At 37.9% G+C, this 12,090-nt stretch overlaps 1 protein-coding gene across 4 annotated transcripts in view; it reads left to right on the top strand.

The window, feature by feature from the left end:
• The window catches only part of CCDC73 (coiled-coil domain containing 73), a 227,865-nt gene that overhangs the window by 166,984 nt on the left and 48,791 nt on the right, over positions 1–12,090 (top strand). For all 4 annotated transcript variants that reach the window (XM_047427029.1, NM_001008391.4, XM_047427030.1 and 1 more), the window contains 3 exons: positions 8,630–8,758; positions 9,565–9,624; positions 10,375–10,479. In XM_047427029.1, coding sequence (XP_047282985.1) covers positions 8,630–8,758; positions 9,565–9,624; positions 10,375–10,479 — 294 coding nt within the window. The remainder of the gene's footprint in view (positions 1–8,629; positions 8,759–9,564; positions 9,625–10,374; positions 10,480–12,090) is intronic.

Raw genomic sequence — 12,090 nt, 5'->3', positions numbered from 1 at the left:
TTAGAAAACCCCATTGTCTCAGCCCAAAATCTCCTTAAGCTGATAAGCAACTTCAGCAAAGTCTCAGGATACAAAATCAATGTGCAAAAAATCACAAGCATCCTTATACACCAATAACAAACAGAGAGCCAAATCATGAGTGAACTCCCATTCACAATTGCTTGCAAGAGAATAAAATACCTAGGAATCCAACTTACAAGGGATGTGAAGGACCTCTTCAAGGAGTGCTACAAACCACTGCTCAATGAAATAAAAGAGGACACAAACAAATGGAACAACATTCCATGCTCATGGATAGGAAGAATCAATATCGTGAAAATGGCCATACTGCCAAAGGTAATTTATAGATTCAATGCCATCCCCATCAAGCTACCAATGACTTTCTTCACAGAATTGGAAAAAACTAAAGTTCATATGGAACCAAAAAAGACACGCATTGCCAAGACAATCCTAAGCCAAAAGAACAAAGCTGGAGGCATCACACTACCTGACTTCAAACTATACTACAAGGCTACAGTAACCAAAACAGCATGGTACTGGTACCAAAACAGAGATATAGACCAATGGAACAGAACAGAGCCCTCAGAAATAATACCACACATCTACAACCATCTGATCTTTGACAAACCTGACAAAAACAAGAAATGGGGAAAGGATTCCCTATTCAGTAAATGGTGCTGGGAAAACTGGCTAGCCATATGTAGAAAGCTGAAACTGGATCCCTTCCTTACACCTTATACAAAAATTAATTCAAGATGGATTAAAGACTTAAATGTTAGACCTAAAACCATAAAAACCCTAGAAAAAAACCTAGGCAATACCATTCAGGACATAGGCATGGGCAAGGACTTCATGTCTAAAACACCAAAAGCAATGGCAACAAAAGCCAACATTGACAATTGGGATCTAATTAAACTAAAGAGCTTCTGCGCACCAAAAGAAACTACCATCAGAGTGAACAGGCAACCTACAGAATGGGAAAAAAATTTTGCAATCTACTCATCTGACAAAGGGCTAATATCCAGAATCTACAAAGGACTCAAACAAATTTACAAGAAGAAAAAAAAAACAACCCCATCACAAAGTGGGCAAAGGAGACGAGCAGACACTTCTCAAAAGAAGACATTTATGCAGCTAACAGACACATGAAAAAATGCTCATCATCACTGGCCATCAGAGAAATGCAAATCAAAACCACAATGAGATACCATCTCACACCAGTTAGAATGGCGATCATTAAAAAGTCAGGAAACAACAGGAGCTGGAGAGTATGTGGAGAAATAAGAACACTTTTACACTGTTGGTGGGACTGTAAACTAGTTCAACCATTGTGGAAGACAGTGTGGCGATTCCTTAAGGATCTAGAAGTAGAAATACCATTTGACCCAGCCATCCCATTACTGGGTATATACCCAAAGGATTATAAAGCATGCTGCTATAAAGACACATGCACACGTATGTTTATTGCAGCACTATTCACAATAGCAAAGACTTGGAACCAACCCAAATGTCCAACCACGATAGACTGGATTGAGAAAATGTGGCACATATACACCATGGAATACTATGTAGCCATAAAAAAGGATGAGTTCATGTCCTTTGTAGGGACATGGATGAAGCTGGAAACCATCATTCTCAGCAAACTATCTCAAGGACAAAAAACCAAACACTGCATTTTCTCACTCATAGGTGGGAATTGAACAATGAGAACACATGGACGCAGGAAGGGGAACATCACACTCCGGGGACTGTTGTGGGGTCGGGGGAGAGGGGAGGGATAGCATTAGGAGATATATCTAATGCTAAATGACGAGTTAATGGGTGCAGCACACCAACATGGCACATGTATACATATGTAACAGACCTGCACATTGTGCACATGTACCCTAAAACTTAAAGTATAATAATAATAAAATAAAGAAAATGTGGCACATATACACCACGGAATACTATGCAGCCATAAAAAAGGATGAGTTCATGTCCTTTGTAGGGACATGGATGAAGCTGGAAACCATCGTTCTCAGCAAACTATTGCAAGGACAAAATCCAAACACCGCATGTTCTCACTCTCAGGTGGGAATTGAACAATGAGAACACTTGGACACAGGAAGGGGAACATCACACACTAGAGCCTGTCATGGGGTTGGGGGAGGGGGGAGGGATAGCATTAGGAGATACACCTAATGTAAATGAAGAGTTAATGGGTGCGGGAAACCACCATGGCACATGTATGCATACGTTACAAACCTGCACGTTGTCCACATGTACCATAGAACTTAAAGTATAATAAAAAAAATTGTCGATTCACTCCAATTGATGAAGAGATGAATAAAAATTAAAAGCTTAAAAAAATAAAAGGGGACATTTTTGACAATTCATGCTCCTAAACTACCAGCTCCTTATATTCCTTCACTCTGCAGAACTGCAGACTAGCATGTCACCACCTTGAAGGTATTTGATATTCTGCTGCTTTTGGGCTTTTTCATTCAGCCTTCCCCTTTCTCCAACCAGAGGATCCTTTTCTATCATCTTTACCATGACATGCCCAAATGTATTACCTCTATACCTTCACCCACTCCATTAGACTGTTCCCGCTTATGTGGAATTCCCTGCATGATGTTTCTTTTTCTTCTGTTTATATTAAGTCATTACTTCACCTTTTCTTTAAAACTTAAACCTTTCAACTGTAGCCATCCCAAGGAGGTACATGACCCAAAGCATACTGGTGTTGCTTTTCTTCTTTACCCCCTTTGTATTCTCTCTCTCTCTTTTTTTGAGTCGGGGTCTCACTCTGTTGCCCAGGGCAGAGTGCAGTGGTGCGATATCACAACTCACTGCAGTGCTGGTGAACACCTGGGCTCAAGCAGTCCTCCTACCTCAGCCTCCTGAGTAGCTGTGACCAGAGGCATGCCACTATGCCTGACTAATTTTTGTTTTTTTTTAGAGATGGGGTCTCACTATGTTGCCTAGGCTGGTCTTAAATTCCTAGGCTCAAGTAGTCCTCCTGCCTCAGCCTCCCAAAGTGCTGGGATTACAGGTATGAGCCATCACACCCAACCGGTATTCTCATTTGTAATATAAATACAATAATATCTGCTTTTCCTGTTTTATATATGTATAATAAATATAAAATTATAAAATGTATGAAAAAGCACTTTGAAAAGATGTAGAAGCTCAATATTGAAGCAAATAAAGGTAGAGCCTTTGTGGTTGAAGGAAGGGTTGGAAGAATCCTGGAGCTATACCTGTTGGCTTCTCTTCTCTGTTAGCAGCCCTGGAGGGGTACCATGGAACTGCTAAAACTTCTCAGGGCGTGATTTGAAAGTGGTTAACTGGATCCAACCTGTTTTTTTTTTTTTTTTTTTTTTTTTTGGTAGAGAGAACTGACCCAAAGAGACTGGGTGAATTAATGTCAAGCAGCTTATAAAAAAGATTTTCCACCTTGCCTCACTTTGTTTTGCATAATGGTTGTAATCAGTAGTATTCTAAGCAATCTGTAATTTTTATAACATTAGCTGAAACTGTTCTTGTAACTGACATTGTGATAATTCCCCAACATTCATTCCACCTCATTCCGTCTCCAAGCCAATTAATATTACTCTATTCCTCATGGCAGTGTTTGGTTCAGGAATGAGCATGTGATCCAATTCTGGCAAGCAAGAGGTAGTTCAAGGAAACATTTTCTTTCTCTTTAATGAGTCCCAGAATGATACAATTGCCATGTAATACCTGAATTGGCCTCTTGTTAATAGTCTAAGGAAGAGGCCCAAGAATGGAAAGTGGAGACATGAAAATAACTAGTCTATATTGAACTATATCGAGTATCCAGGTCAACCAGCCTGCCTAACTTTGTGGTCCCTGTTATAGGATAGTAAATTTCCTGATTATTTTGTGGTTTAGTTATGGTTTTCTGATATTTATAGCTAAAGCATCCTAAGTGTTACTGACACTTTGTGTTTTTCATTACCAAATACTGTGTTTTGTACAAATTTATGGATGTTTAAAACATAAAATGATTGGTTTATGACATTTATGTCATAGTTAACTTTTCCAAGGTCGTCTACTCTTAAAATAAATTCCTCTGACTCCCTGATTATCTTTTTCCTCCATTCTTCCAAAACTCTGTAAGGATAGAGTTTTGGGATAGAGTTTTGCTTTTCTCAAAGTCTTTGTTTCAGTGAGCTCAGACTTTAGTCAGCCATTCACTTCATGTGCATGACGGCATACATAGTTTTTCAATCTCACATTTCTCTTAATCTCTGGTTCTATATGTTCAACTACCTGTAGATCATCTCCTTTTGTGACTTATTGTAACTTCAGGGTTAACAGGTCACACATTGGGTTCTTCACTCTCCCATCCACTCTACCTCTGAAAAAAAAAATTCATGCAACTCTCCTTTCAAAGGAAGCTATCTTGCTGCCTGTGAAGGTGAATCATGACTGATACATAGAAACTTTATTTGAGGGAATTCCTCATGTTCAGCCTTTTGTAATTTGAAAAAAATGTAAATGAAGGACTTTTTTGAGAATAGTTAACCTATGGTTCAGGCTTAATAATTTGTATTTTTTTAGCTTTTGAAAGAATCTGTCTCAGGACATTTTCTGTCTCTTATTTTGTGTAATTTTAAATATACTTTTTGTCTCTTCCATCAGTGAAGCACACTTTCTATTTCCTTTCCATTTTTGTGTTTCTTCCTTTCGCATTTCATGGTCCCCTTTTCCTTTCTTCCAGTTTCACTTAGTCACTCTAGAATCATCTTTGACTCATTTTTGACTCATCTTTTTCCTTTATTCTCTTTGTTCAGTCTATTATATTTTTTTTTAGAATGTCTCATATTTTTTACTTTCCATTTTTCAATACTATAGACACTCATCATCTCATGCCTGGATTAATATAATAGCCTCTTAGCCAGTGTTCTTTTCTCAAGTTTTTATTCATTCTTTTTGCCAGACTAAGTTTACTAAGATACTGATTTAACTTCTATGTGCCTGACACACAGGAGGTACTTGGTATATGTAGAAGAAATGATAAATAATTCTCCTTTGCCTACCAAATCAAGTCCCAGGCTTCTTTAATTGGCTTTCCAGAGCTTTCATGATCTGGTCCATTCTACATGTTCAATATTGTTTGTTATTGCTTCTTAACAAGCATCTTCCATTCTATTTTAGCCAAAATTCTTTGTTGCCATTAGCATAATTCTTAGTTCTTTCTGCCTTTTGGTTTTGTTTTCCTCTACATCCCTTCCCATACTTGAAATGCTTTCTCTCAATGTACTTGTACTAAACAGGGTTGGACCAGGAAAGAGGTGGCACGGTGGAATGGTAATTGAGAAAAGATTAATGAACTACGTAAATGAAAGCTATTTACGTAGTTGTAGACAGAGGTAAGGGAAAACAACAAGGGATGGTGAAGCACCCCACAGATAAAAGTAGTGGGAGAATGATTAGCACACCTGTACCTGAAGAGATAAGGGAATGAAGCAGATGCTGGAATCTGGAAAGAGCTGTAGCTATAGCTGCAGAAGAAAGCCTAAGGCAGAAGCTGTGGGGTTTTTTTTTCTTTTTCTTTTTTTTTTTTAAAGAGACTAGGGTAGGGGGTGGGTTTTTATTTTTAAGAGATGGGGGCGGTGGGGGGTCACTGTGGCGCAATTATCGGTCACTGCAGCTTTGAACTCCTAGGCTCAAGTGATCCTCCAGCTTCAGCTTCCTGAGTAGCTAGGACCAGAGGCATACACCATCATGCCTGGCTTATCTTTTTATTTATTTAGAGACAGGGTCTTGCTTTGTTGCCCAGAATAGTTTTGAACTCTTGGCTTCAAGCAATCCTCCTGCCTTAGCCTCCCAAATCACTAGGATTAGCTGTGATCTTTGGTAAAGATATAGAGGTATTACCAATTTGTGGTTAGTAGGGAGGGAGCTGGTAAAATACCTCATTCTCTTTCTCTTTATAGCCTACTGATCTACTAGTACCTCCCACAGATTTAACCCAATCAGGAGCCAGAAGGCAGAGAGTTTGCTATACCCACAGATATCAGCCACATAGGGCACAGAGCAGTGTGGAGAAAGGGTGGGAAGTGAATCAGGAGTGATAAATGGAGGATATCCACTATACTACTCATTCTTCAAGGCCCAGCTCAAGGTCTACCCCCTTCATTCAAACTTTGGTTCATTCCTTCGATATATACTAATTGTTCTCTTTATGCCAGACATCAATTTGTCTGCCTGCTTTTCTAAGAATAGAGCCCTATCTCTTGACTCACGTGGTTACTTTAGCAGTCATTTTATGCAGTGTACATATCCAAAGGTGATATTTGAACTAAGACCAATGAGTCCTTTCTCCTGGATTTTGAATTTGGAGTTAGGATATACTTGGGTGAGTTTTTCCCTGGGTGGCTAAAGCTGTAACATGTAGAACTTTGAAGGTATTAGTAGCCCTGTTTTCTGCTGCTCCTCTTTCAGCTTCCTTTTGGGTTTCCTCCTATCTCAGTTGACTTTATTTCTCAGCCTTATATACTGGCTTCTTCTCTAATCTATGAATTTTTCTTAGGATTGAGTCATTTTCCATTTTCTATCCTCTAATAACTCTCTATGTGATAGTACCTGTTTTTACAGCTTAAATACGATTTTAAAACTACAAAAAATGTTTTTATTTTACGAAAAATAGAAAATACTAATCACATAATGAAGAAAATAAAAATTTCCTATAATCTTGCCACTCTAATAAATCAACTTACTTCTACAAGAGTCAAAAGTTTGTTGTTTATCCAGTTCTTAAGACCTTTAAAAAAATTAAGTAGTCAGGATTCTTAATTGCACACTGATTTAGTCAGCAAAGGAATTTATTGGAAGGGCATTGGTTATCTCGGACTTGAAAAATGATTACAAACAAGGGAGGCTATGCAGTATCCAAGACTATAGCATAAAACCAGCTTCCACTTTTGAATACTGTATATCACAGCTTATACCATCATTGCTGACCATAGTGGATGCTGCTGATGCTGCTGCTGCGGTATCACTCACCCATAGAAGCTTGAAGTTACTACACTTCCCTGACTATCTACCAACAGATGGATTTGCAGTAGTCCTTGTTTTTTTGTGATAACTAATCCAATATCCAAGACAGGTGCATGAGATTAGCAGAGCCTAGCCTCATGCTTATAAAGCTGGTACCTGGCATCTTTGCTTCTCTGGTAGGCAGCCGGCTCTTATAATGTAGAAAAACTGGCCGGGCGCGGTGGCTCACGCCTGTAATCCCAGCACTTTGGGAGGCCGAGGCGGGCGGATCAGAAGGTCAGGAGATCGAGACCATCCTGGCTAACATGGTGAAACCCCGTCTCTACTAAAAATACAAAAAAAATTAGCCGGGCGTGGTGGTGGGCGCCTGTAGTCCCAGCTGCTCGGGAGGCTGAGGCAGAAGAATGGCACAAACCCAGGAGGCGGAGCTTGCAGTGAGCCGAGATCGTGCCACTGCACTCCAGTCTGGGCGACAGAGCAAGACGCCGTCTCAAAAAAAAAAAGAAAAGAAAAGAAAAGAAAAACTGCCCACTGCCTACCTGAGAAGCAAAGATGCCAGGTACTAACTTTATAAGGGAGTTCAGATACTGTGTAGCCGAGACCGAAAATCAGATTCTTGAGTATTTAATATAGTCAATATACACAGAAGAACAGCACAATCAATTGCACACTAATTCAAAAGTTGGTATTTCAAGATTTTAATGTGTTTAATTGGTATCTGCTAAACTCAATGAACATGTGACTTCATAAATGAAGACTGCTTTTACATCCTTCAGTTCCACCCTCCACAACACTGCCAGAGTTATTTTTCTAAAATGCAAATTTTGTTATGTCATTCTTCTACTCAGAATCCTTCAGTGGTTAATTCCCCATTTTGTTTTATAGTATAACATTCAAACTCTGTAGCGTAACGTACAAGTCCTTCTCAATACTTGAATCCTGCCAAATTTCTAGACACAACTACCAATATTCTACTCTGTCCCCTGAAATAACACATTAGCTCCAGTCATATCTTATTAGTTCTGTTTCCCTGAAAAATATCGTTCTCTTTCATGTTTCTGTGGCTTTGTGCATGTAGAACCTTTTGCCTGGAATGCCTACCCCTTTGTTGTCTTCTTTGCAAATTGATCTTTAAAGATTCAGTTCAAATAGCACCTTCACATGTAATACCGTTTTGATACAGTTTATGTTTTTTATTCATTTTTCTAATATAGCACTCATTACATTGTATTGTAATTATTTCTTACATAATTTTTCCTATTAGAGGCTAATAAATTTGGGAATTGAGATTTCCTTGTTATCTTTTTATCTCAGAAGGTATTTGTTTAATAAATAATGGAAACACTGTACTTCTGGTTAGTTAGTTGATTTTGTTAGTACACTCCTTTTAAGATTAAAAGTCATGCAGTCAATCTCTTTATGATTGATTAACTTTGCCTGATCCACAACCGCAGATTATGTTCCCACCTTGGCTAATCTTGCAAGGGAACTTGCAAGGGAATTATAACAAATTATAATTATAGGCTTAAGGATGAACTTTGAAACTGTCAGGAAAGTACCTTGTTTTAGTGAAATATGTGTACTGAATTTTCTGTTTGATATGTTTCTTATTAAGGAACTAAAAAAAGCAGCCTCAGACTTGATAAAGTCCAAAGTCACATGTCAATATAAGATGGGAGAAGAAAACATCAATCTAACAATTAAAGAACAAAAATTTCAAGAACTTCAAGAAAGACTCAACATGGTATTTTATTAAATGTATTTGTTTATAACATTAATATTTTCAATAAAACTTATGAGAATTTCAGAATTGTAACACAAAAATACTCCGCCTTTGCAAAGTCAATATGCATAGTTAAAGGTATTATTAATCTGTTTTTTTATTAATTTTTGCCATAGACTTTAGGACAATAAGATTTGGCTAGAACTATTTTATTTCTACTTGAATATGGTTTTGAGTAATCTTGTGGTACAGTGGTATCTCCAGGACAGCTTTGGAGATGAGTTTATAGTTTTTAACATTTACAAGTTTGCACCAAGCTTTGTTGGTATATAAAATCTTCTTCAGTTCACTGAAGTCACTGTTTAAACCACAAACAAATGTGGGTACTTTGGGCCAGGTGCAGTGGCTTACGCCTGTAATCCCAGCACTTTAGGAGGCTGAGGTGGGTGGATCACTTGAGGTTAGGAGTTCAAGACCAGCTTGGCCAACATGATGAAACCTCGTCTCCACTAAAAATACAAAAATTAGCTGTGCGTAATGGTGGGCATCTGTAATCCCAGCTACTTGGGAGGATGAGGCATGGAATCCGCTTGAACCCAAGAGGTGGAGGTTGCAGTGAGCCAAGATCGCACCACTGCACTCCAGACTGGGTGATAGAGCGAGACACAGTCTCAAAACAAACATACAAATAAACAAACAAAAAAACAAATGTGGGTACTCTGGGGGTAGGAATAGGTCATAACACTCCAAAATTTGTTTAGTACTGAATTGAATGTAGAATTTGCTGAATTTTATATCATAACTTTAAAACTATTCAAATTTTAAAGGAATTGGAATTAAATGAGAAGATTAATGAAGAGATTACCCATATTCAAGAAGAAAAACAGGTAAGCAATCATAAGCTATTTGGAAGCCAGTAAATATTCTAAAAATCAGATAAAATGTAAAAAATAAGTGGAATCATGCATAGCACATAGTAGGCACTCAGTTAATGTGTATTAAATGTACATGTGTATACTTTTTAAAATCAGTCTCAATATACTTTCATTAAAAAATACCTTAGTTTTTTCCTTGATAGATTAGACCAGTGATACCCTAACAAATAATTATTGAAGTTTATTTATGTGTAGTGCATACTTTTTCAGGACATTATACTCTCATTTGAGTCTATTTGATGCTTACAATTATTCATTTTTTAAAATATGTGTGAAAGAATATTCCTCCTGTTTCTGTTTTCTCTTCTGCTTTTCCTCCATTTGACTCTGAATGTATGCCATGACACCCTAGCCCATTATGACATTTTATAATATTATACCTCATATGACATTTTAGTAGTGATATATTTACTGTTGGGAGGTGGCAAGCCAAAAAATCTTTATTTTAGTTTTGAATTCTTCACATGTGTCTTAGAATCCACAGTTTATTCCAAAAAACTTTGTTAATTATTTGAGGGACTCTTGGAAATAATGTAATAGAAATTTTAGATACCATTAGATGTGCCATTAGTTTAATATAAAGTATTGAAATTAAACTATAAATACAGTGAGTTAGGAAACTAGAAAATGTATGTGAAGAATGATTTTAGAAACATACCTATCTTAAAACTTTTAAATTGATATATTTGTGTATTTTCAAAGGATATCATCATTTCTTTCCAACATATGCAGCAGTTACTTCGGCAACAAATTCAAGCTAATACTGAAATGGAGGCAGAATTGAAGGTGCTAAAAGAAAATAATCAGGTTCGTTCTATCTGTCTGTCTGTCTGTCTATCTATCTGTGTTTTAGTATATTTTCACTAATTAACTTCCTGTTTAGTTTATTTTTCTGTCCAGTTTTATTGAGATTATTTTGAATTCTAGGGGTAAGATATTGACTTCCTTCAACTTGTTTTCAGTGTCTAAAGTAATGAACATATATTATTCACATTTATGTCACTAGTGAAATGTTAAATTTTATCAAGTATCTGACTTAATTTTGCAAAATGAAAAATCCACTCTGTTACAACAGAATGAATAGGATTTTTTTTTTGTCTTAGAATTGTGGTCACAATCCAACACTGAAAATAAAAGGTGAAAGTGTCAACTCAGTTTAAGAGAGCATTCAGCCAGCTCTCAGAAGTTTGGGGTAGATCTCTCTTCACAGGAATATGATAAAATTGGCGCTGTTACCACAACAAACACCTCATCATCCTCTTTCCAGTATATATAAGGAAATGACTGGGAAGGAGAAGACATTGTTGGCCATTGATAATTTGGGAGTGCAGGGTTCAAAAAAGAGGCTTTTTCTCTTACATCCCTAGCAGAGGCAGGCGCATTTCCCCTTATAAAGCTGAGTGAAGAAATGTACAGGAAAATCTCTTGTAGGGATTGAGATACAAGAAGGGGAGACTGCCTTTTGTTCCCTGGCTAGATGCTTGAAATGCTGTAGAAAGGTGAAGGTCCACTCTAGTGTTACCAGTAAAGTAAAATGTGATAAGTTCATGTGGAAGTGGTTGGCACGTATTTCTTTTCTTTTGTTTTGTTTTGTTTTGTTTTTCTTTCTTTCTTTTTTTTTTGTTTGAGATGGAGTCTTGTTCTGTCACCCAGGCTGGAGTGCAGTGGCATGATCTTGGCTCACTGCAACCTCCACCTCCTGGGTTCAAGCGATTCTCCTGCCTCAGCCTCCCGAGTAGCTGGAATTACAGGTGCCCACTACCACAGCCAGCTAGGCATATGTTTCTTGAAGTTTGGAAGTTTACCAAGAACATATCAACTGATGCCCAGTTTTGGTCTACAAATTTCAAAAAGGAAAGTTTTTAGAGTAATCTGTGCTAATGGAGCTTGAAGTGTATTATTCTTAAAAAACCTTAGTGGTTCTTTGGCTTCACATGAAGGAACCATGGAGATTAGTGGAGGAGCAGGAACTGCCCTGTAAGCCACTGGGCCAAGTGATGGGATGTCCAATTCAGAAAAGGGGTTGGGGATATGTTCCACTGGGGTGGCCAGTAGAAGATACTTCTATCCTTCTAAAGGGGTTCAGGGTAAAGCTGAACATTTCCCAAGAAAACTACAATTACCTCCCACATAAAAACTACCATCAGTCAAGGCCAGGGCCAGTTTCATGAGTATGTGACCAGTGCACTGGCATCATAGGGACCCACACTCAGAATGGCCTTCTGCTTCAGGTTTAATGTTTCATGGTCACTGTCTTGAAGATTTTATTTTGAATTTACATTCTGTAAATGAAGTCTAATGGTAATGGAGCATGTGCTAGGGGCTTGAATCCTCAGCTCAGGTATTTCCACTACCTCCCAGGACTGGTTCTTGGCTGCTGGCTCTTCCGCCCTCTGGGGACCTACGTCCTGCTTTGCC

The sequence above is a fragment of the Homo sapiens genome, chromosome 11 (genome assembly GCF_000001405.40).
Source record: "Homo sapiens chromosome 11, GRCh38.p14 Primary Assembly".
NCBI lineage: Eukaryota > Metazoa > Chordata > Mammalia > Primates > Hominidae > Homo > Homo sapiens.
The sequence above is the reverse complement of the archived record's forward strand: the minus strand, read 5'-3'. Positions and strand labels throughout refer to the sequence as shown.